The following is a 23,680-nucleotide window of genomic DNA, read 5'->3' as shown; positions in this document are numbered from 1 at the left end:
CATAACCAAACGGTTAAACTACTTCAAAGTGTCAAAACATACTCTCTGTAGTGATTTTTAAATTAAATATTGTACGCGTAACTGGACAGCAAAGCTTCCAAGATGCTGAATTAAGGTGACCTCACTGGACTATGGGCATACAAAATTTAAAGTTTTAACTGTTATCAAAGCCATAGAAAAACGTGATTGTTTTCAAATTACAGCAATGTTCCCATAAGGACCACGATACATACTCAACTAGTAAGGATTTAGGTCAAATCATATTCCCAAAAATCATAAATACAGTAAAACCAAAAGCTTCATTACTGACCACTCTGCCTTTCTGCATGTGTCTAGGTCCTTGCAGGTTTCCATTTCCAGCACCTTTATGGGAAGAGAAAGTTTTCAGTCTTGTAATCACTATACTTGCTTAAAGAAGCAATTTTACTGAAAAACGTGCATCTTCCAAACACAAATGAAAAGCTCTTACAAATATATGATTACCATCACTTTTCATGCAATGTTTTTTCTGTGTAATATTTGAATGAGCCTTCTTTCACCTATAATCATTGCCTTTAATTTTCAGAATGGGGCCGGGTGTGGTGACTCAAACCTGTAATCCCAGCACTTTGGGAGGCTGAGCAGATCATTTGAGGCCAGGTGTTTGAGACCAGCCTGGGCAACACCGCGAAACCCCTGCCTCTACCAAAAATATAAAAATTAGCTGGGTGTGGTGGCACATACTTGTAATCCCAGTTACTCAGGAGAGGCTGAAGCATGAGAATAGCTTTAACCCGGGAGGCAGGGGTTGCAGTGAGCAGAGATTGCACCGTTACACTCTAGCCTGAGTGACGGAGTGAGAATCTGTCTAAAATAAATAAGTAAAATTTGCGGCCTGGCACAGTGGCTCGCACCTGCAATCCTAGCACTTTGGAGGCTGAGGCGGGTAGTCCACCTGAGGCCAAGAGTTCGAGACTAGTCTGGCCAACGCGGTGAAACCCCGTCTCTACTAAAAATACGAAAATTAGCTGGGCGTGGTGGTGGGCACCTGTAATCCCAGCTACTCGGTAGGCTGAAGCAGGAGAACTGCTTGCACCCAGGAGGCAGAGGTTGCAGTGAGTCGAGATCGTGCCATTGCACTCCAGCCTGGGCGATAAGAGCAAAACCCCATCTCAAATAAATAAATAAAAAGAAAAATTTTCAGTAACGGCTCTGTAGGGAAAAGTAACATGAATTTTATATAATTACCCAGATTTCCTCTTGGTCCAACTGCTGGTCCCCCAAGATGAAATGAGGGAGGTGGAGGTCCCAGAATTCCTGGTGCTGGATTTGTAGACTGCTGCAACATGAATGGATCACCCCTAGTAAAGTGAAGACATAAAATATAAATCATAATAAAGAGGTCCATTGGAAAGAATTAAGATTAAATGTTAAAGCACCCCAATATATGACCACAACCACTTCAATCTTTCAGAGTATCTGTGAAGTAACTAGGTCAAAGTCTACATTAACAATAAAAGAATACAAATTACTACATAATATATATTCTAAAAATTGTTAACCAAAGTGAATTTTATCAAAGTCTCATTTTCAGTAAAGAAATTCTGAAAATACTTTGTTTATGAAATGTTGAAAGTGAAACCTGAATTCCTTACATTGATCTCCTTTACAAATGGTAGCTTAAAAAATTTAACTTACATTGTGTGTCCTGTATCATTGTCAGGATTCCATTCTGGGTAGCTTTAAAAAGACCAGAAAATTAACTTTAAAATAAAACTGTCCTTTTCACAAAACAGCCTTGTTTGGCCTCTAAAATAGAGATCATTTATTAGTAAAGTTATCTGAGAGTCTAAGTGTTAGAAACATAGTTTTAAAGCATTTCCAATAGATATTTCAAAAGAAAAATTTCAGAACTTCAAAATAATCCACGAGAATAAACTTGTTTTGTATTGCTTGCAAATGCAGATAATGTTGAAATTAAGTTTTTCCTCTATTTGTTAAATTGTAAGGAGGAAGTGCCGCACAAAGAATTAGAAATGTGGGTTACATAGAAACAAGAACAGAGCACAGATTTTCCTTCTCCAATATTAATACCAAGAGCACAGTTGAGTTGTGACATTAGAAAGAAAGAATAGCCCCAACAGAGTTAGGCATATGTGAAAATTCCAACTCCAGTGAACAATGGGCACTGTGTGCTGCTTAAGCAGGGAGTTTCTTTAGGAATTCCATTTCATGGTAGCAGCCTGAACTCAAAACCAAAGATCTCAAAAGCAAAAAAAAAAAAAAAATTCATCACCAAGGATTTTGCTGGACAATGAATTAGAATCTTTTAATAACCTACCCTCTTTTCCGTATCTTTTACATTTTTAGAGCATGTATTATTAAAAATGCTACTGTTTAATCCACTCTACATATCAAATACTATCTTTCACTATGTCTAGTAAAAATCACCAATTTGTATAATGACCAATATATATGTATCCTAGAAATGTTAAATAACAAAATATTATTACTGCATCTAATATTCAATATGAAATTTCCAGATCTAAACATTTTACTTGTAAATAGTATTGTCCATACAGTACCACTATGTGATATTAACATTGTGGATATTACAAGTAAATGATGAACTCCCAAAAACCAATAATGGCTGATTCTGATTCACGATAAGGATGTTTTAAAGGTATTTCAAACTCCTACATTTCAAGAAGAAGCTGGCATCGACGACTGTGACTTGCTCCATTGATATGTTGACTCCACTCCTGCAGCAAAGTAAATTAGTAGAATTAACAAAAATAAAGCTGAAATATTTTCATCTGAACCATTCAAACTCTAGGATATTAATGTCTATGCAGTATCATAGGCTGTACAAACACCTGCCCATTCACTAAATCACATTGATTTAATTTAAAACCATTTCTCTGAATCCTTGAGGCTTGATCCTGCCCTCAAATACGCTATGCACATTCTTGGAAAAACTGGATTAACTTGTCAACATACTTAAGATATTTGACAGGGAAAAGATATAGAGTTAATAAAGATCAAGAGTAGTAACTAACCTTGAGATCAGCAAGGCTTATTAATTTTTACTGTGGACCAAACTGAAGTATTCATTGTATGCTACTTTATAGCACTCTGAATAAAACATCCATGTTTATATCTACTTTTCTAGAAACTATATACTATAAATGTGAACAATTAGTTAAAATAGAATCTTTTAGGCCGAGCATGGTGGCTCATGCCTATAATCCCAACACTTTGGGAGGCTGAGATGGATGGATCATTTGAGACCAGGAGTTTGAAACCAGCCTAGCCAACATGGCGAAACCCCATCTCTACAAAAAATACAAAATTTAGCCGGGCGTGGTGGCACACGCCTGTAGTCCCAGCTACTTGGAAGGCTGAGGCAGCAGAATCTCTTGAACCCAAAAGGCGGAGATTCCAGTGAGCTGAGACTGCGCCACTGCACTCCAGCCTGGATGACAAAGACTCCGTCTCAAAACAAAACAAAACAAAACAAAAACAAAAACAAAAACTAAAACTTTAATCACATCCAGCTTTTGAGGATGTTCCAGGTTTACTACCTACTAAATACACAGTGAATGAAAAATACACCATGATTAGCATTACCATAAAATGCTAACATGATTCAACAGGAATGGCTTTTCTAGAAAACGAATCCCATTTATCAAAATATTATGCTCCCTTTGTATTTCCCCAAAATAAGCAAATTTAAGGAGTGCCTCTTTCCAAATTTAGGGTGGGAAACATGACATTCTTTCACTATTTACTCTTTTATGGTTTACTTTAAATTGAAGTAACTCTTATTTTATTCAAATAAATTTCTTTAGGAAAAAAATGCAGATATAAATGAGTTAACTTTTTAGGCAATGTAAGAAAGAGAAGTTACAAAAAGTGGGCTCTGCTATTAGACTGCCTAGGTTCACTCCCAAATTACAAAGATGTGAATCTTTGGTCCGTGTTATTTAAATTCACTGGGACAAGAGTCTCATAGGGTTGTTGTGAAAAGCAAATGAGTCAATAAAGGTAAACTGCTTATCAGACCCTTGCCAGGCACATGGAATGTGCTAAAAAAAAAAAAAAAAAAAGAACTATTATTACACTGATTATAAAGCAGTCTTGTTTTACAATTCCTGCTTTACAACTATTATTGATGTTTCACAAACTCCCACAAATTGAGGTAATTTCTGTAACACCCACACTACCCAATACAATTATATTTGGAATATAAAACATGGTCAGGCGATGTGTTTTTAAAGGGGGATGTCTCACTGAGAGCTGAACTAAATTAGAGTAAGGTACCAAGGTACCAAATTACAAGATACGTGCTTTCAAAAAGCTGCGGATTGGTATTTTATAAATGAGCTCCTAAAAAAAAAAAAAAAAAAAACTGGTTTATATTTACCTGACAACAGTTTAGGTACATTCCTATGCTCTAGTAAAATTATCTAAAATCCTGTGAAAGGCCAGGTGCGGTGGCTCAGGCCTGCAGTCCCAGCACTTTGGAAGGCCAAGGTGGGAGCATCAACTGAGGTCAGGAGTTCAAGACCAGCCTGGCCAACATGGTGAAACGCTGTCTTTATTAAAAATACAAAAATTAGCCAGGCATGGTGGCAGGTGCCTGTAATTCCAGCTACTTGGGAGGCTAAGGCAGGAGAATAGCTTGAACCTGGGAGGCAGAGGTTGCAGTGAGCCAAGATCACACCATTGCACTCCAGTCTGGGCAAGAGTGAAACTGTCTCAAAAATAAATAAATAAATAAAAATAAAATCCTGTAAACTAAAATGGAACTCATCCAAATAGAATGGTACCTTCCTTAAAATGTTGGAAGCTATAAACTACTATTTCCAGGTCTCTCAAAGCTAGATTATCTTTTTAAAATAATGGCTAATAGCTAAGGAACTCAAGATCTCTCCAGCTGGCTCTCTAATCATCAGCTATTTGGGATATCTAAAGTTTCAACTGGAAAGTAATGGACCACTGCCTTCTTGGGGACCAGTTTTAAAATGGCTTGTAAGGGCCGGGTGCAGTGGCTCACGCATACGATCCCAGCACTCTGGGAGGCCAAAGCAGGCAGATTACTTGAGCCCAGGAGTTTGAGACCAGCCTGGGCAACACAGTGAAACCCGATCTCTATCAAGAAAAAAACGCCAGATGTGGTGGTGGTACATGCGTCACTTGAGCCTGGGTGGTAGAGAGTGCAATGAGCTGCGAACACCTAAGCGCACTTCAGCGTGGGCTACAAAGCAAAAGACCCTTTCTCAAAAACATAAAACAAAATAAAATAAAATAAAAATGGCTCTAAGTCAGAGGAGCCACAGGTAAGTTCACAAAATTTAGAAGCCTTGGCTGGGCGTGGTGGCTCATACTTGTAATCCCAGCACTTTGGGAGGCCGGGGCAGGCGGATCACCTGAGGCCAGGAGTTAGAGACCAGCCTGGCTAACATGGTGAAACCCGTCTCTACTAAAAATACAAAAAAATTAGCTGGGCATGGTGATGTATGCCTGTAATCCCAGCTACCTGGGATGCTGAGGCAGGAGAATTGCTTGAACCCGAAAGGCAGAGGATGCAGTGAGCCAAGATCACGCCACTGTACTCCAGCCTGGGACACAGAGCGAGAAACCTTCTCAAAAAAAAAAAAAAAAAAAAAAAAAAAAAAAAAAAGGATTAATTAAACAAATACCAATTAACGACTTACAATTCTCTGAACTAAAAATATTCAGATTTTACTTAAAATATTCTTAAGTTGTGGGAGAGAAATAAATGTTATCCTACTACGCATGCTTCTATTTCATAGGAGCTAGAAAGGGTACATAGCTGAACAGAAATTATATCCAATCCTCCACGTTGTTTAAAGGTTCAAACTTAGGGGAAAAGTGTGTCTGGTCTTTCAAAGTGAAAAAAGGAAGGCCAAGATCAAAAAATCAATCACATACCTCCCAAACTCATCCAATGACTAATCTGTACTACTGATCTATTACTGGTTGGTTTACGGTGGGGACTAAGTGAAAGAGTTTTATAAAAATATATATCCCTGGACTCTACACTGAGGTAACTCCTGTAAAATCAGATTAATAAAGGATTCGTGCACTTTTTAAATTCAGACATTTCTGTAGGAAAACTACATTCACCTTGATGTATCTGAGATACCTTATAGAGAGAAAAAAAAGAATTTGGGAAGCACTTACAGAATGGCAGAAAAAAGTATAACTTAATATAAACTCAAGTGACAAGACAGCCAAAGTGCTGTAGTGGGTAATTTTCTTTAAGTGAAAGGAAGCTGAGAAAGCTTGAGATTGCATAGAAAAGCAATCTGATGACTGGGTGCGATGGCTCACACCTGTAATCCCAGGACTTTGGGAGGCCAAGGCAGTGAATCACCTGAGGTCAGGAGTTCAAGACCAGCCTGACCAACATGGAGAAACCCTGGCTCTAAAAATATAAAATTAGCTGGGCGTGGTGGCGCATGCCTGTAATCCCAGCTACTCGGAAGGCTGAAGCAGGAGAATTGCTTGAACCTGGGAGGCGGAGGTTGCGGTGAGCCGAGATCGCACCATTGCACTCATTACAGCCTGGGCAACAAAAGTGAAACTCCGTCTCAAAAAAAAAAAGAAAAAAAGAAAAGAAAAGAAAAGCAATTTGATGACCTAAAATGACCTATAAAGAAATAAAAACACCACCATCACTTTAAGTCACCTAAAAATAATGACACTCCATGACAAATTATTTTCAACTTAAGTTTCTTACTTCACAGTAAGAATTTTTGATCATGTAGACTATTTAACAATACCACTAAGTAAAAAGAACAGATTTTCCAAGTTATGCAGCAATACCAGAGAGCAGGATTAAATGTTTAAAAATTTTTCATTATCTACTTCCATCACAGAAATTTTCTCTAAGGTCATTTCTATAGCGGTTATAGAGGGTCCACTGCTAAAGTGAGTAAAGATTTTTTCAATATAATGCATATACGTAAAAAACATAGTAAAGCAACTAGAAAACTAGAAATTCAGATAATCCATGTGTTTAAACTTCTTAAAGTTGGTCCAATTTACACATTTAAACCACAGAATTAAACAAAAGGCCTCTAAAATAGTTCTCAAATGTACTCAGTATTTTGACAGAATACCAAAACTAGCTAGGACCTAAGCATTTTTACAGGCTAAAAGTACCTCTTGCACTAGGGTAGTGTATCTTACTCTTGAATCCATAGTTTCATCAAAATATGTAAAAACTGCTCTTTTGTTAATTTAGATCCATTTAAGTTATTAGCCTTCTTCAGGAACTAGAAAGTAGCAAAATTTGAAGGAAAAAAGCATAATCATACATAAAAACAGAAACTTTTCTCGAAGTCCTCTCATGGTTCCATTGTGTTCATGATGTCCCAACAGCTTAATGACTCCAGTAGCGAAGATTTTTTAAGTCCCTTCACATCACTCTCATTTGAGACACTTGTAACTATCTATTTTCCTCAGAATTTAGAGACCCTTTCTGAGAATATTGGTCATACTGACATTTCTGCTATTATTTCCTTATAAACAGGCAAGAAATAACGCAGAAAAAATTGGAGTCACCAGTGTTTAATGGACCTTTTCATTCTATGAATTCACACGGGACCTAAAATTTAAAGTTTAGTGCTGATCAGAAACTAAAATGAATTCCATGATATATTTAGTAGAGCCAACAAATTTAGGAAAAGGTAACACCCAAAACATATACCAATTAAAATTTGCTGGCTTTTGTGAGTCTGGGGTTGTATTTCTTAATGAAAATACATCTTCTTAAATGTTTAAATAAACCTAAATTTAGCATTTATGTTAATTTACTTTGGTACAGATTAAAGATTAAAAGACAAAAATACTGAGATCCAAACACAAGGAAAGGGAGTGACTGGTAATACTCTTTAACAGAATATTAAAAACAATGGTATGATTTAGTCTACTAAAAAAAAATCCATACTCATTTACTAAAAAATGCTTATCAAAGGATTAGCTATGAAAAGAAAATGACCCTTCCAGATGTTACTGTAAAGAAAAACCCTGTAACAGTAACCATCAAATCAATTTCATGGCAGCAACTTGTTCCAGTTAAGTAGAGCACATCAGGAAAAAATGGACGGTCACAGATTATAGATCAAGCTAGTGGGGTGCTATAACAATGACTTTAAGTCAACTGCACCATATATTGGGGGAAAAAAAGTCAGAATGAGTAACACTGAAAAAGTTGAAAGAGAAAGGACAACATATTTAAAAGGGCATTTTGAAAAAGTTCCCATTTTGCCAGATGTGATAATTAAAGCAAAGGAGAATTAGATTTTCTTTTCAAATGACTATTTCAGAAGTCTAAGCCTAACTCAGAAAAAGAATTTGTTTATGAGGAACACAGAGCAGGATACTGTAGTAGTTGATTTGTCCAAGTCTCTAAAGGGACAGATGTAACATGGGATAATAAAAAGTGAGTTTTGAAGTATGTTTAAGAAAGTTGTGGAAAAGGAGAAAAAAAATGATGAAAAATTTCAGTCATAGTATGAGAGTTTGTGTTAAAGGGAAATTAAAAAAGGAAGAATGAACTAATCTAAAATATGAAACATACTGAAACAAACACCAGGGCTCTACATTAACTCTTTCCCTGTAGCCACAGATAAGGAAAAAAAGAGAATTGTTCAAGAATACATCTTTACTACATACAAATCAGCAATCAAGACAGATGGAGAGCTGAAATCTAGCATCCTGAATGGCAGAGCACATTGACTGCAAAAAAAATACTTAAAACAATTCAACAAAGCAGACAAAAAAAACCTGCTTAAATATATGATTAAGAAGAACATATTGATGCCAAAAACCAACAAGATAATCTCAGTGGATGATAGCTTTGTGGCCAGAAGTAATCTAGGCAGAATATATTAATGTAAAGCCCTGGTTTAAAATGCTCAAAAACAATTACCTTCCAAATAAAGTAAGTGTTCTCAAAAGTTTAAAAATGCTTGATCAACTCAATGTCATCAGACTACAGAATTAGAGTCAAAGATATAGGTAAATAGGCACTACAATGTAAAAGAAATTAGAAGCATCTGTTGAGTTAACTCACCTTATTAGAATGAACTGGCAAATCACATATAGAGCACAGATGGGGATAACCCTTCGGTAAGAGTCCATGGAAGTCTTCAATATTGCTACTTGGAGGAGCGCCTCTCTTTTTCTCAAAGAGAGATCTCTCTTGTAAGGGGCCAGGACCACGTCCCATTCTCTCATACTCACTGTCAAATTTATGATAGTTATGCGAGGTCTCACCAAAAAAAGAATCATCCCTACACCTTTCTCCATCTCTTAATCTGTCATCTTCATAATCCATTCTGTCATAATAACCAGATTCTTGAGAACGACTTCCATGGTCATAATCAAGCACTGGGTTGAGACTAGGACCACGATCATCAAAACTATCTCTTCTAAAGTGCCTTTTTTCTTCCCAATCATCCCTAGGTACTCTGTATGGTGGCTCCCGTGTAGCAGATCTGCCATCTCTACCATAACTCAAGGTAGGGCCTTCTTCAGTTCTCCTCCTTTTAAGCTGTAGAAGGATTTGGGGCAAATTCTCAGGAGTAATCTTGTCCTCTGGATAACGACTCAGTTCATCTAAGTCTCTAGCAGACAGACCAAAGCTGGCCAAAATGTTACTGGCCTGGTCTGCATCTCCACGGTGTTGAGAAGATAAAGGGAGTGGACCTCTACTTCCAATGTTAAATATAGACTGCAAATTATGGGAAGAAGTACTAGCAGAAGACAGTGCACTATGAGCTCCTTGTTGATTCAATGAAGAACTCATTCCAAGATTCATTAAACTAGCAAGGCGTGCAGTACCCTGGTTCATCCTTCCAAGAGATGCTGGCATACTTAAAGACTGGGTAGCAGCAGCAAGAAGGCCTATTCCTGCCGCAGACAGGTCACGCCCATGACCCTGTGAGTCCCTACTGAGAGATGACTGCTGGAATGACTTGGACATTGTAGAACTAGCTCTTGTCTATTTTATAGATTAAAAAAAAAAATTTTTTTAAAGACGGCCAAAAAGAAAGCTCAAACTAGAAAGCTAGGTTAACTTTGCTTCAAAAATGGTAACGCCAAGAAAAAGGATCAATAAGGACTGCAGAATCTTCTTCAAGCTGAGAACCAGCAGACAACTCTGTAGAAAAATAAGCAATTTTAGTCATAAATCCCTTTAAGCAGATGCCGTTTTTTTAAGAAAAAAAAACTTATGCATCATGTTGATTTAAAAAAAAAACATTTAAGATCTCAAACTTACAAGGAATTTATTACATATCTTAAACAGATTCCTGATGTATGCAGAGCCTGCATATAGATATTTAAAAAGTAGTATTTCATGCTAAAGCTTAACTATTAAAGGGACTTTCATACTGAGTTTAAAAACATGTAAATTGAAAGGTTAGATGTCTGAGTACATCAAAATTTCAGTAAAAATATAGATGGGTTTCTTCTTTTAGAAGAATAAAAATACACCCTATAGTATGATGCTTAAGTTCCAGAAGACTAAAAACAAAAAAATCAAGGTCAGCAAGTCAAAGATGAATCAGTTGTACTGTGCTTTGGAAAATGAGACCTATTATCACTATCAGAAAGAACCAAGTAAAATCACAAGTAAATGAAGCTTAGGTTTCAAGTACCTAATGTAAGATATAAGACCAAACATAATAGCTGAGACCTTTATACAGCAAAATCAATTTGAGGTGAAGATAGATGTGAATAAGAAAAATAAGTCATTTCCTATAGTTTTAAGGATTGCTGCCCAAATTTAAGTTATACAACTAATTGCCTTCTTACTGACCATCCTACATCAGGCAGTGTTTACTTCATATCTAGTCTTTTAAAGTAAGGAGAACTAACTCTGGTCAGTACAGGAATAGGAGCCCTCCCAAGAAAAAACCTAGGTACAGGAAATACAGGTGATTTAAAGAAGGGAACTCCCCAAATCAGCATCCATCAGTACTCATTTAATGCTCAGGGCTACAGCACATCTAGAGCACAAAACAGGTAAAAATGAAAATGAGATCTTGGTTACACAGTTTCCTGTAAACTTTTCACAAGAATAGCCCAAATCACCTGGTAAATTTATGTTCTGATTATGATCCCCCAAGACGTGTTTCTAGATGAAATTGTTTTCTTTCTTAAATCATTATTGTTGTACCTCAGAAACTGTCACATAAGAATTTCCAAATCTTTTATATCACGATTGTCATAAAATATTAGTTGAAAGATATACATAACATCTTCAGTGAAACAATTTTATAATCACAACTACATACAGAGGTAAATCTGAAGTTGTTTGGTACAGAATTCTATGAGGCATTGCTTAAATTTTCTATTTTTTGATCACCAATACACTCAGCACTGGTAGCTTAATATGTGAAACTTTAACAGTAAAACCAGACAATATCCAGTAGTTACAAGTCTATTACAGGATCAATTTCACCAATGATAGATTAAAGCAAGGATACAATGGACAAATACAGTGGCAAAGGAAGTATAAAAAAAGTTGCAGGCAAGAAAGATTTAGACTGGATTTTAAAAAATAGATATAATCAAGTTTTAAAAGACACAGAAATGCTATAAGAGGTGGCTGGAGTTACAGGAAGATGTTTTTGCACACCAAGAAAGATGAATTTGAGAAAATACACCAAAGAAACTATTAATAGTTCTAGACAAGATCCACTATGTAAACTACTTAAGCTTTAAGATTAATAAAGACGAGAATAAGTGGACTTCTTCAGATGAAAGTTTCTTTGATATGTCTTATAAATGCCAGACAGAATGGCGGCTGAGATGCTATGTAAATGGTGGTGGACCCTCTAAATTTTCACACATATTTTTACAAATCAAATCCTTTAGAGGGTTTTTCAAAATAAAAATGTTGAAGTATCAGGGTTATTAATTGCAGCTTTGACCTTCATGTTGTAGCCAAAGCTTTGCATTACTGAAAAGTCAGTCTTTTGAATTATTTTTTCCCTAAGAGAAATTATATAATGGTATTACAATTATGTTTAAAATTTTTAAAACGGCCATATTTTAAGGAAATGTGACTGTTAGACTACAGAGCTCTGAATTACATTTTTTGGTAGCTCATAGGAAAACAGTGGATCAACAAAAGGAAAAAGTTAAGAGAAGCAAAGGTAAAGGATAACCTTAAGACAAACAGAAAATGAATGTCAGAAAAACTCAGAAAAGAGTCAAGACAAACAATGTAAATCCCATGACAACGTGTAATTCCATAACCACCTTAGTAGTTTTAAGATACTCAGTTTCAACGTAAAATGCAGCTCCATCAAGGATATTAGGGTAAAATTAGTGAAAAGCAACTTAAGTTAGATTTTGGATTAAACCACAAATAAACCAAATTCTTAAAAATGGTTTTATTAGAACAAAGTTGGGAGAAACCAGATGTGGCAACATTGTTGAAAAAGCATTAATGAAAACAGTTCCTCTATCATGTCAATGCTGAACATAAGATGTACAAGCCACTTTTAAAGGCTCATTCACATGGGCCCCACTGCCTATTAGCAAAGGCAGCACAATATGGAGACACTTACTAAAGATTTACAAAAGATTAGCTCCTTTTACTGTATTGTTTTTTCCTGTAATTATAAAATTGCCTTTCTATAGGAAACTGCACTAGAGGTTAAAACAATTTTAAATATAGTAGCTTTGGGAGAACATTTATTATCAAAATCCAATTTACCTATTTAAAATCTCTATATACTAGTGTAAATGCCCATCAATGCAGAACCCTTCACTTCCAAAAAAGAAAGCACCTGCACCCCCCTAAAAACTATCAACATTACCCACAATTTCACTACACAAATGCCATTTACTACAATCTTGATAACCAAATTCTTTTTTTTTTTTTTTCAGATGGAGTTTCACTCTTGATGCCCAGGCTGGAATGCAATGGCACGATCTCAGCTCACTGCAACCTCTGCCTCCTAGGTTCAAGTGATTCTCCTGCCTCAGCCTCCCAAGTAGCTGAAATTACAGACACACACCACCACTTCCAGCTAATTTTGTATTTTTAGTAGAGACGGGGTTTCTCCATGTTGGTCAGGCTGGTCTCGACCTCAGGTGATCCCCCTGCCTCGTCCTCTCAAAGTGCTGGGATTATATAGGCATGAGCCACCACGCCTGGCCCGATAACCAAATTCTTAACAAATTAGCTTAAAAATTCATTTTTATAGGCAACTCAAAACAAACTGTAACTTAAAATTATTTTATGATACAATTTTAAGCTGTTTAAAAATGTTAGCTTCACATTCAACATCTAAACAAATCTGAGTATCATCCCTATGTATGGTTAGGAAACGTTTCAGTTAATATTCTACCTCCCATTACATGAGAATCTGATTTTTGTTATTGGCTTTTTCTTCTCCAATTAAAAGAACTAGAGTACTAAAATATTTCTGAAAAATTTCACATACCCTGAAAATTCACGGAGAACAGAAGCAAACAGCTGTTCCAGATCTAAATTTCCTTAAAGATTACCGGTAAGTCCTTAGTCATTCTTTCAGAGTAATATCTAGCAGAATTACTAAAATAAGCGCAAGCTAACTTTAATTTCTTAGAAGGTATTAGAAAAAAATGAAAAGATTTTTAGTTTAAAAAAAAAAGACAGTGTCTGACTCCTTCATTGCCCAGGCTGGAGTGGAATGGCATCACACCTGGGAGTGCATTGCCCAGGCTCACTGTAACCTCTGCCTCCCAGGCTCAAACCATCCTCCCACCTCAGCCCAAGTAGCCGGGACTACAGACACATGCCACCATGCTCGGCTAGTTTTCATTGTTTTGGTAGAGAGGGGGTTTTCACCATGTTGGCCAGGCTGGTCTCGAACTCCTGGGCTCAAGCAATCCTCCCGCCTTGACCTCCCAAAATGCTAAGAGGTATCTACTACTCCACATGGATCTTCAGCTATGCTCTCAACTGTGTGAGATAATCACTCCTTTAAATAATTTTTCTCTGGCAGGGCGCAGTGGCTCACGCCTGTAATCCCTGCACTTTGGGAAGCCGAGGTGGGTTGATCACGAGGTCAAGAGATCAAGACCATCCTGGCCAACATGGTGAAACCTCGTCTCTACTAAAAATATAAAAATTAGCTGGGCATGGTGGCACGCACCTGTAGTCCCACCTACGTGGGAGGCTAAGGCCGGAGAATCACTTGAACCTGGGAGATGGAGGCTGCACTGAGCCGAGATTGGGGCACTGCACTCCAGCCTGGGCCACAGAGCAAACATCGTCTCAAAAAACAAAACAAATAAAAAAATAATTTTTCTCTTCTCAGTCTTTGTAGTCAGAATTAAAAAAAAAAAAAACAACTAATTTGAGATGGTTTACCCATAAAACTATGAAAGATTATTTATGGTTTAACCATAAAACTAGAGATACTCAGGGAAAAAAATACCTTCATAATGACATTATTTTAACTTCACATTGAAACTTACAAGCAACAGCTAGAAAACTACAGTTTCTTATATTTTCCTCTTCTGAATTGCAAGAAATGCTCAGATTTTCCAAATGTTCTATCAAGGCCAATCACCTTGATCATTTATTAGCTTATTCATGTGAAAATATACCAAATATGTTTTAGGTAGCAATCAACAATACCAATTTAGTAAAAATGTCTTAACCTATGTCACTGATAGATGGCAGACATAGTTGACTGTCAGTAATTTCAAAGCAGCACCATTTGGAAGGTAGCTGCTTGATTTTTGTCATAAATCACACAAAAATATTGATTCCTGCGGTCAGGACTTTCAAACCAAGCATCCAACTTATTTTCAATTCAAGAACAGGTTTCAGTTACTATTTAAATTTTTCTTCATTTATTAAATTTTATAATGGTTTTATAAAGAATTTACCATAGTTTCCATTTTAAAAGTACTACAAGTTTTCATTTTAATGGTGTATATAATATTTCCTAACATATTTTGTAACAATTATTTCATTTAAGGGTTTTTTTGAAGTATGCTGAAGAACTACATTTTTTTCCTAGAGTTTCAGCCACTTTCAAATCTTATGCTCTCTAATCTATGTTTTTGAGTGTCACAATCTCATCTCAGTATGGCATGTACCTTGAGTGGCTTAAGAGTTTTTAAAATAGGCCAGGCGCAGTGGCTCACACCTGTAATCCTGCACTTTGGGAGGCCGAGGCGGGCAGATTACCTGAGGTCAGGAGTTTGAGACCAGCCCGGCCAACATGGTGAAACCCCGTCTCTACTAAAAATGCAAAAATTAGGTGGGTGTGGTAAAGTAGCATGTGTCATCATACAATAGAAAAGATAAAAAAGTGTAGTGCCAGGAAGGCTGAAATACAAGCATGAATATTTTCAAGTGCTTTAAGACCACTGTTCTTAATCCATCTAACAGACGTGAAGTCAATTTTTAGTCCACTTCTTGATCCTTAGGCTAATGAATGACAAGAATGTTGCAGAGTGGCGTCAGCTGCTGAGAAGACAGAAAACTACTTGTTAACCAGTGTAAGAAATTCCCACTCAGACCTGGAATAATACTGTCTTCTTCCTAGGTTTAAAATTTTTTCCCAGTGACCTTCAATCAGGCAAGAAATAGTTTCAGATTAGAACTACACAGAATTGATGAAGTAAACCCGTATTACAAGATAGAAAGTTACCCCGTGTACCTGATGATGTTCATTGTCTATTTGAACTACGACATAAACTTGGCTCTTTACTTTCTTCTCTGCTTAAGCAAAATCAGTGATTTCTTTCAAGGCTCCATTCTGGGCTGGGCGCGGTGGCTTATACCTGTAATCCCAGCCCTTTGGGAGGCCGAGGCGAGAGGATCACTTTAAGGTCAGGAGTCCGAGACCAGCCTGGCCAATACGCTGAAACCCCATCTCTACTAAAAAATACAAAAATTAGCCGGGTGTGGTGGCACACGCCTGTAGTCCCAGCTACTTGGGAGGCTGAGGCAGGAGAATCTCTTGAACCCGGGAGGTGGAGGCTGCAGTGAGCCAAGATTGTGCCACTGTACTCCAGCCTGGGTGACAGAGTGAGACTCTGTCTCAAATAAAGAAAAAAGGCTCCATTCTGTATCCCTAAGAGCCCTATTCTCTTGACTTCCATAAACATTTCTACAACTATTTCATACATACTGAATTTTGGGGGCCCAAAAGCCTTCGTGTGAATCCTGGTTCTATTACAAACAGCTGTGTGACCTTGAGCCAAAAAGGGTGGTGGGAAATAAAAATAATACCTACTTCATAAGGCCATAAAGACTCGATAAATTAGGCCAGGCACAGTGGCTCATGGCTGTAATCCTAGCACTTTGGGAAGCTGAGGTGGGAGAATCACTTAAGGCCACAAGTTCGAGACCAGCTTGGCCAACATGGGGAAACCCTGTCTCTACCCAAAAATACAAAAAAGAGCCAGGTGTGGTGGCAGGCGCCTGTAATCCCAGCTACTCGGGAGGCTGAGGCAGGAGAATCACTTGAACCCAGAAGACGGAGGTTGCAGTGAGCTGAGATCATGCCATTGCACTCCAGCCTGGGCAACAAGAGCAAAACTCTGTCTCAAAACAACAAAACACCAAAAATCAGCCAGGTGTGGTGGCATGTGCCTGTAATCCCAGCTACTGGGGAGGCTGAGGCAGAAGAATCACTTGAACCCTGGAGGCAGAGGTTGCAGTGAGCCACTGCAGCCTGGGTGACAGAGTGAGACTCTGACTCAAAAAGACTTAATAAATTAGTCTAAATAAAACATTTAAAATAGTGTCTGACACACAGCACCGTAGTAATCATCTCATTTGGTATAATCTGATCCTCATAAAACTAAGAAGGTAAAATCTATTTTTCTTTATTTTTAGATGAGAAAAACTTTTAGAGGCAAAAGGACTGAGATCCAAAGACAAATGAATAAAGAGCTTATAAACTTTTTATCTGCACCGTAGTCTCTTTCATGTATCAACTTTAATGTCATACTGGTCACCAGGAATCAGCTTTCAAAAACAGACTTAAAGACTGGTAGTAACTTTTGTTTTTGAGACAGAGTCTCGCACAGTTGCCAGGCCTGGAGTGCAATGGCGTGATCTTGGCTCACTGCAACCTCCGCCTCTCGGGTTCCCGTGATTCTCCTGCCTCAGCCTCTGGAGTAGCTGGGGTTACAGGTGCACACCACCACACCTGGCAAATTTTCTGTATTTTTTAGTAGAGACAAGGTTTCACCATGTTGGCCAGACTGGTCTCGAACTCCTGACCTTGTGATTCACCCACCTTGGCCTCCCAAAGTGCTGGGATTACAGGTGTGAGCCAACTGGTAGTAACTTTCAACAGACAAGCTAAAGAACAATACACTATCTATATTGCAGTAATTCTAGTAAAAGTGGAAAAATTAAACATCTTCCTTCTTCATTCTGTATTGCCAACCTGTGTTTAAATCACCCTTCACCCTGCATCCTTAACCTGTTTCCCATCCAAGCACTAACCAGGCCCAACACTGCTTAGCTTCCAAGATCAGACGAAATCAGGTGCGTTTAGGGTGGTATGGCCATAGATCTTACCTTTCTATTCTCTCTGCCATAATCTTAGTCCTCCTGCTTTTTAGCTAGCCTCCTGGCATCAAAGCTCACACCTCATCACCTTTCAACATAAACAACCTGAAACATCACTCATTTCACACTCTCCTGGCTCAAAAACCTACTACTCCCTACCACTTACCACATGAAATCCACACTACGATTTCCTTTTTCAAGACAGGGTCTTCCTCTGTTGCCCAGTGCAGTGGCACAATCTTGGCTCATTGCAGACTCAATCTCTTGGGCTCAAGTGATCCTCCTTGGTCTCAGCAGGGACCACAGGCATGCACCACTATACCCGACTAATTTTTAACATTTTTAGTAGAGACAAGGTCTCACTACGTTGCATGAGCTGGTCATGAACTCCTGGGTTCAAGTGATCCTCCTCCCTCAGCCTCCCAAAGTGCTGAGGTTATAGACATGAACCACTGTGCCCTGCCTCACATATAATTTTCACTGCCTTTCATGTGTTGGTTCCATTCTACTTCTCTAAACCTTTTCCCCAACCATAACCAAACACCTTACAGAAACGTCTGCTTACTATTCCATTTACAGAAACTACTCAATGCTTGTGTAAATAAAATTATTAGCTGGGAGGCATCCCTCTGTCATTTCATGTAATACCAGTTATTTTCTCAAGGCCCAGCATCCCCTTTTAATCATTCAATGTATTATACAAACCAGTGTATATAAAAATACGAAACAAAACATTAACGAGACTTTGGAAATAAATCTACATAGCAATTTCCAACGACTCCCTCCCCTTGTGTTTAAGTTTGACTACTTAATGTATGTACCCTTAAAAAGTGTTATTTTTGCATTTCTGAACTTCATGCAAATTGACTTAAAATGTACTGTTCTGACTTGCTTTTAAAAACTGATTTATCCACAATTGTGAGTTAAACCTACATTTTCACTGCAATATAGGTATCATTATGTATGCACATGTACTTTATTCTGCAGATGATGAACATTTAAGTTGTTTTCAATTTCTTGCCATTACCAAGAACAACGCTGTTTCTTGGTGTCCCTTGGTGCAAAACTGCAAAACTTCCTCCTCCATGGTGCTCTTCCAAAATACCATGGCCCACACAAAGACAGACACAAGCATTAAAACTGATAGCCTTTTCCAATCTTTTCAGTCACGTATCTAAAAATCTCTCAACTCCTAGGCTTTTCTCTCTGCTCTAGTTTTAATTATCCATTAGATTTTTCTACACACAAAGAATATTTGGAGTTCAAATATTTGTGTTTCTTTTCTTTTTGAGACAGTCTTGCTCTGTCACCAGCCTTGGAGTGCAGTGGCACGATCTCGCCTCACTGCAACTTCCGCCTCCCAGGTTCAAGCAATTCTGCTTCAGCGTCTCCAACAGCTGGAATTACAGGAACGCGCCATCACGACCCGCTAATTTTTGTATTTTTAGTAGAGACGGGGTTTTCCGTATGTTGCCCAGGTTGGTCTCGAACTCCTGGCCTGAAGTGATCTGCCCACCTCAGCCCCCAAAGTGCTGGGATTACAGGTGTGAATCACTGCACCCAGCCAAATGTTTGTATTTCTTTGACATTATTCTTTCCCCAACTACTGCTTAAGTTGAGTGCTCAAATAATTGACTTTTAATTTTCACATATGGTATAGGTTCCCGTGTGTTAAGAGGGACGGTTAATATCCTAATAATCCTCACAAAGGAGGAAAAAAACCAAACACATCATCCTAAAAGATCTGAAAGTTATGCATCTTCATGAAGTAAATGCAGATAATACTGCTCCCTAATATTAATTAAATGACTACTTTCCATACTTGCTGCATTTACTGCTGGCCCACTAAGACATTTACCATAGGCACTCTGCTTTTACTTTTCTTACCCATCTGCAACTACTCTCTCCTTCTCCACAGGCAAGCTCCCCTCTTGTTTTCCTACTAACCTGTTTCTGCCTGAACCACATTAAAGAGAATGTCAGATAAGATGTTTTTAAGGTTTGGTGGGTGGGGAGCAAGCATACTTTAAATTTTGGAATAGCTTTAAAATTTTTTCAAACCTAAGCTTTCATTACTACTTCACTTTTTATTTTCCACTTCCAAAGAGCCTTGAGCTTTATCTATACAGAGAACATTAGGGCTTGATGTACAACTGGAAAATTATACATCACATCAAAGGCACTCCGCACTCCATCCACACAGAAGTGCCACAGTAATAAATTATATTCAGGTTAGGTCAGATAACAGCACTTTATCATGTAACTTTTACTGTATTACAAATAGGATTATAATAGAAATGCGTTAAAACCTAACACTTATACTCAATTTTTTAAATTACACATAAAACCCCTTTAAAGGTACATATCTAAAACTCAACCCATAGGCTTGTTTTCTGTTTTACTTTTAATTATCCATTAAATTTTCTACACATAAACTTTTATCAAGAACTTCAGAGCCCTTAATCCTAATGATCCAATGAGAAAGGTTTGCTACATAGCTAATAATTATAAATTACAGCACTTTATTTCTTGGACAGCGTTGTGCCTTAGAATAACCAACCACATATACAGAAAATGGCAAAACTACACTCCCAGCCTATAACCCTTCCAATCCATCCCAACAAACTTAGCACTGTCCATCCCAAATGTTAAGTCAATCATCCACTTTACTTTTTTTTGAGATGGAGTCCCGCTCTGTTGCCCAGGCTGGAATGCAGTGGCGCCACCTCGGCTAACTGCTACCTCCGCCTCCTGGGTTCAAGTGATTTCTCCTCCCTCACCCTCCCAAGTAGCTGGGATTACATTACAGGTGCCTGCCACCACGCCCGGCTAATTTTTGTAATTTTTAGTAGAAATGGGGTTTCGCCATGTTGGGCAAGCTGGTCTCAGAACTCTTTACCTCAGATGATCCGCCCGCCTTGGCCTCCTAATGTGCTGGGATCACGGGCCACTGGCCGCAATCATCCACTTTTAGAACCTGTTGCCAGAAGTGTGGGATAGCTGTACTGTAATTCTAACTAAAGGAGATATATAAAATCAAGTATCCCTAACAAAAAGATGTTCTAAGAACATCTAACCATTATTCAATTCTTTGGCTGCAATTCATATTGTAAGCTAATTAGTACTATTTCCAATAATAATGATTTTAACATTTTTGCCTAAGAATATTCTGATTCCTGTGTTTGCTTATACCCAATATCCAAAATGTTACACAAGCACTACTTTCTGTCACTTCTCAGTACTTTTCACTTCAGACTTGAAGCAGCTAGTTTGTCTATGCCAATTTCGCTTAAAAATACAGAGGACTCTAATATTTTAAGCAGTTACAGTATTTACAAAATATGTTTTTCATTTTTTTCTCTCATTACAAAAGTTGATGTTATTTCTCGTGGTAAATTCAGAAAAACATCAGGGAGTAAACAATGCCAACATCTGAGCAAACATTTTGGGGTATATCTCTATTTTCATGTTTACATTGTCGTTTAAAAAACAATCAAACGACATTAGCAGTTTTCCAACATTTTCCTTTCCAGTTAAAACTGTATACCGTTACCATTTTCCCATCATACTCTTCACCTACGATACTGTTTTAAGTGGCTGTATAGATTTCCACTTTCACAACAGAATTAGCAGATTCCCAAAACTTGAATATTTAATTTTAAAAAAAATTCTTAATAACTGATATTAAATTTATATACGCAAATCTGACACATTACTTCCTTAGGATAAATTCCTGTACGCACAGTCTTTCCATTTTAAGCCTATTATACTATGAAGGAGTCTGAATCAACATCTAAGAGCTCCGAGAGTTCAACACCAGCCTGGGCCATATTGTGAGAACACGTCTCTACAGACGATCAAAAAATTAGCTTGGTGTGGTGGCGCGCGCCTGTGATCTCAGCTACCCAGGAGGCTGAGGTGGGAGGATTACTTAAGCCTGGGAGGTCGAGGCTGCTGTGAGCCGTGAGCCACTGATCATACCACTGCACTCCAGTCTGGGCAACAGAGCGATCCTGTTTCAGAGAAAAAAAAGATCCAAGACCTCTGTAGACCACACTGACAGCACTGCTACTATTTGCAACTGGTCACGACCTATCTGGGCTTTAACCTTCTCTTCTATAAAATTAGGGATTTGAACTACGTGATGCTCCTAAAATACGACACCACCGTTGCACTCCTCAGTAAAAACCATTAACTGACTTGTAATATTAGCGTTTACAAACTCTAAAAGCATTAGTAAAAAAATTAGTATGTTTAAAGACTAAAACAAATGCACAGATCAAGGGTAGTTAAATCCTTCCAAGTTAGTTCAAAATGTGATATAAAAGCTGTACACGGCTGAAAAATATATAAAGATGATAAAGCGAAACTTCTCTGGGTAAAGTACAAAGTAATGTTCTAAGTATATACTGTTAAGTGCAAAGGAAGAAATACAAATTTAAAGCACTTCAACACACATCTGGCTAAATGATCTTTTCCAAATCTTACATAACCAAGAAACTTCATGCAGTATTTTAATGTTGTTTAATTTCGAGTTTGCAAAAACATTCTATTTAAGTGGAAAAGGCATCATCCAGAGCGTTTTTGCAACGAAAATGTCAAGCCTTTCTTGATTTTTAAAACAATACTGTGAAAAACGTCGATAGACTGCGTAGATGACTGAGCCATTAGTAAAGAAATGTTTTTAAAGGGAAATTTTAAACATTTATTAAAATAGCCTGAAACATCATTTTTGTCCGCATAGTCAACTGTTTAGATTTCCCTGGGAGAAAAATGTATTTTACCGACTATTCAGAAATCTTAAGCCAAGGTTTAAAACACAGAACGCAGTACCAATACAAAATCTCGTGACCCCTACCTACGAAATCAACGATTCTTCACATTATTCCAGCGCGCCCGAAAGACTAGCCATTTCAGAACCACCATAACCGTTCTAGAAATATCTGGCTAAAAAACTGTAACTGATCCAATAGGAATATTCCACAGAACAGGGCCACAGAGCAGGATAAACACCTAGGGGATATTCATCCACGGTAAATGCCGAACACAGAACATGGCACAGAGCTCGAAATGCAAAGAACGATGCGGCGACTACACCACGGTACTCCAAAACCCTTTGTCTGGAAACCGGAAGGTCCCACACCACACGATCCTCTCTGGAGGAACCTGGACTAATACTATTTTGATAAAGAGAAAAAGGATGTGAGGTGACTTGACTAAACAAGTGCAAATCACCCGCCTCGCACTGTACTGCAGGCGGCTTGTTCCACGACGCAGTACGAAAAACAAGCGTTAACGTTTCATTTTTCGGCCATTTTTACGCGATGGGGGGCGGGGAGGAATTGTTTCTGATGTCCAGCTAACGCCGCGCGCGCGCGCGCGTGTGGGCCGGGAGTCTTAGGGGGCGCTCTGAGGCGATGGGCAAGGAGCGGCGTGAAGGCCGAGACACCGGGAAAAGAAAGAAACGCTGCTCAAACAAGCAGGCTCTTCAGAGTCTGCGAAATCCTCCATTTTGGGGGAACATTTTCAGAGAAAAAAAGGCGAACGGGTTATTTGGCACTGGCGCTACCCAAGGACTTAGATATCTTAACCATCCTCCTCAAACGGCAAGCCCCCAGTGTACAGTCTGTCCCTCAGGCCTCGAGCGAGCTCCTCCCTCCCCCTCAGCGCCGCGGCCCGCGTGTAACGGGCTAGTCGTCCCGCCCCCGCCCACAACGAGCCCAGGACGCGCAGGAAGCTCGGCCGGTCAGCGCACCTCTTCACCCAAAATCTCCCGCCGCACCCTGGGCCCTTGGCCGGCCGCGTGTTTCCCTCCCGGACCGCTCACCTCCGCCGCCCTAGAAGGCTGGTTGCGCCGCCACTGCGCTCCTAACATGGCGGCCGCCGATCAGGCGGCTCACATACGCAACGCGGAGGGAGGCAGAGCGGGAGCGAGCAAGAAAGGCGCGCCGCCGGCTCCCCGCAGCCCCTGTCGCCGTCGTTGTCCCCTCCCGGCGGACACGGAGAACCCCCAGCCACCCGACCCCGACTCTTACCCGCTTCACGCCTACCTTAGGGAAAGGGAGAGGGAAAAGGAGAGGTACCTCTCTCCCAGCGAGCGGGACGCGGAGACTCCCACAA

The 23,680-nt window shown here is 38.8% G+C and overlaps 1 protein-coding gene and 1 pseudogene across 31 annotated transcripts in view, besides 3 other annotated features; both read right to left on the bottom strand.

Annotated features, from left to right (window-relative positions):
• Positions 1-23,680, bottom strand: part of MATR3 (matrin 3) — a 57,577-nt gene that overhangs the window by 14,262 nt on the left and 19,635 nt on the right. For 15 of the 31 annotated variants that reach the window (NM_001400451.1, NM_001400450.1, NM_001400441.1 and 12 more), the window contains 5 exons: positions 9,089-10,177; positions 2,680-2,741; positions 1,678-1,719; positions 1,228-1,340; positions 311-363 (listed from right to left, as the gene is read on the bottom strand). In NM_001400451.1, the coding sequence (NP_001387380.1) occupies positions 311-363; positions 1,228-1,340; positions 1,678-1,719; positions 2,680-2,741; positions 9,089-10,000 (1,182 nt within the window). In that variant the 5' untranslated portion in view covers positions 10,001-10,177. Of the gene's footprint in view, positions 1-310; positions 364-1,227; positions 1,341-1,677; positions 1,720-2,679; positions 2,742-9,088; positions 10,178-22,418; positions 23,677-23,680 lie in introns of those variants that run through there. The other 16 variants (NM_001400459.1, NM_001400463.1, NM_001400460.1 and 13 more) reach the window with 10 other exon arrangements.
• Positions 15,262-15,556: a silencer, noted in NCBI's record as "tiled region #13556; HepG2 Repressive non-DNase unmatched - State 14:Gen5'". NCBI's record gives its function as "represses a minimal TATA promoter and a strong SV40 promoter by Sharpr-MPRA in HepG2 cells {active_cell/tissue: HepG2}" and the evidence as "EXISTENCE:reporter gene assay evidence [ECO:0000049][PMID:27701403]".
• Positions 17,448-17,564, bottom strand: RNA5SP195 (RNA, 5S ribosomal pseudogene 195; annotated as a pseudogene).
• Positions 22,198-22,900: an enhancer, noted in NCBI's record as "NANOG-H3K27ac-H3K4me1 hESC enhancer chr5:138630205-138630907 (GRCh37/hg19 assembly coordinates)". NCBI's record gives its function as "activates a minimal SCP1, AML or CMV promoter by ChIP-STARR-seq in naive H9 embryonic stem cells {active_cell/tissue: H9 hESC(naive)}" and the evidence as "EXISTENCE:reporter gene assay evidence [ECO:0000049][PMID:30033119]".
• Positions 22,901-23,604: an enhancer, noted in NCBI's record as "NANOG-H3K27ac-H3K4me1 hESC enhancer chr5:138629501-138630204 (GRCh37/hg19 assembly coordinates)". NCBI's record gives its function as "activates a minimal SCP1, AML or CMV promoter by ChIP-STARR-seq in naive and primed H9 embryonic stem cells {active_cell/tissue: H9 hESC(naive and primed)}" and the evidence as "EXISTENCE:reporter gene assay evidence [ECO:0000049][PMID:30033119]".

The sequence above is a fragment of the Homo sapiens genome, chromosome 5 (assembly GCF_000001405.40).
Source record: "Homo sapiens chromosome 5, GRCh38.p14 Primary Assembly".
In the NCBI taxonomy this organism is placed as follows: Eukaryota; Metazoa; Chordata; class Mammalia; order Primates; family Hominidae; genus Homo; species Homo sapiens.
Note: the sequence above shows the minus strand (reverse complement) of the source record. Positions and strands in the feature narration are given on the sequence as shown.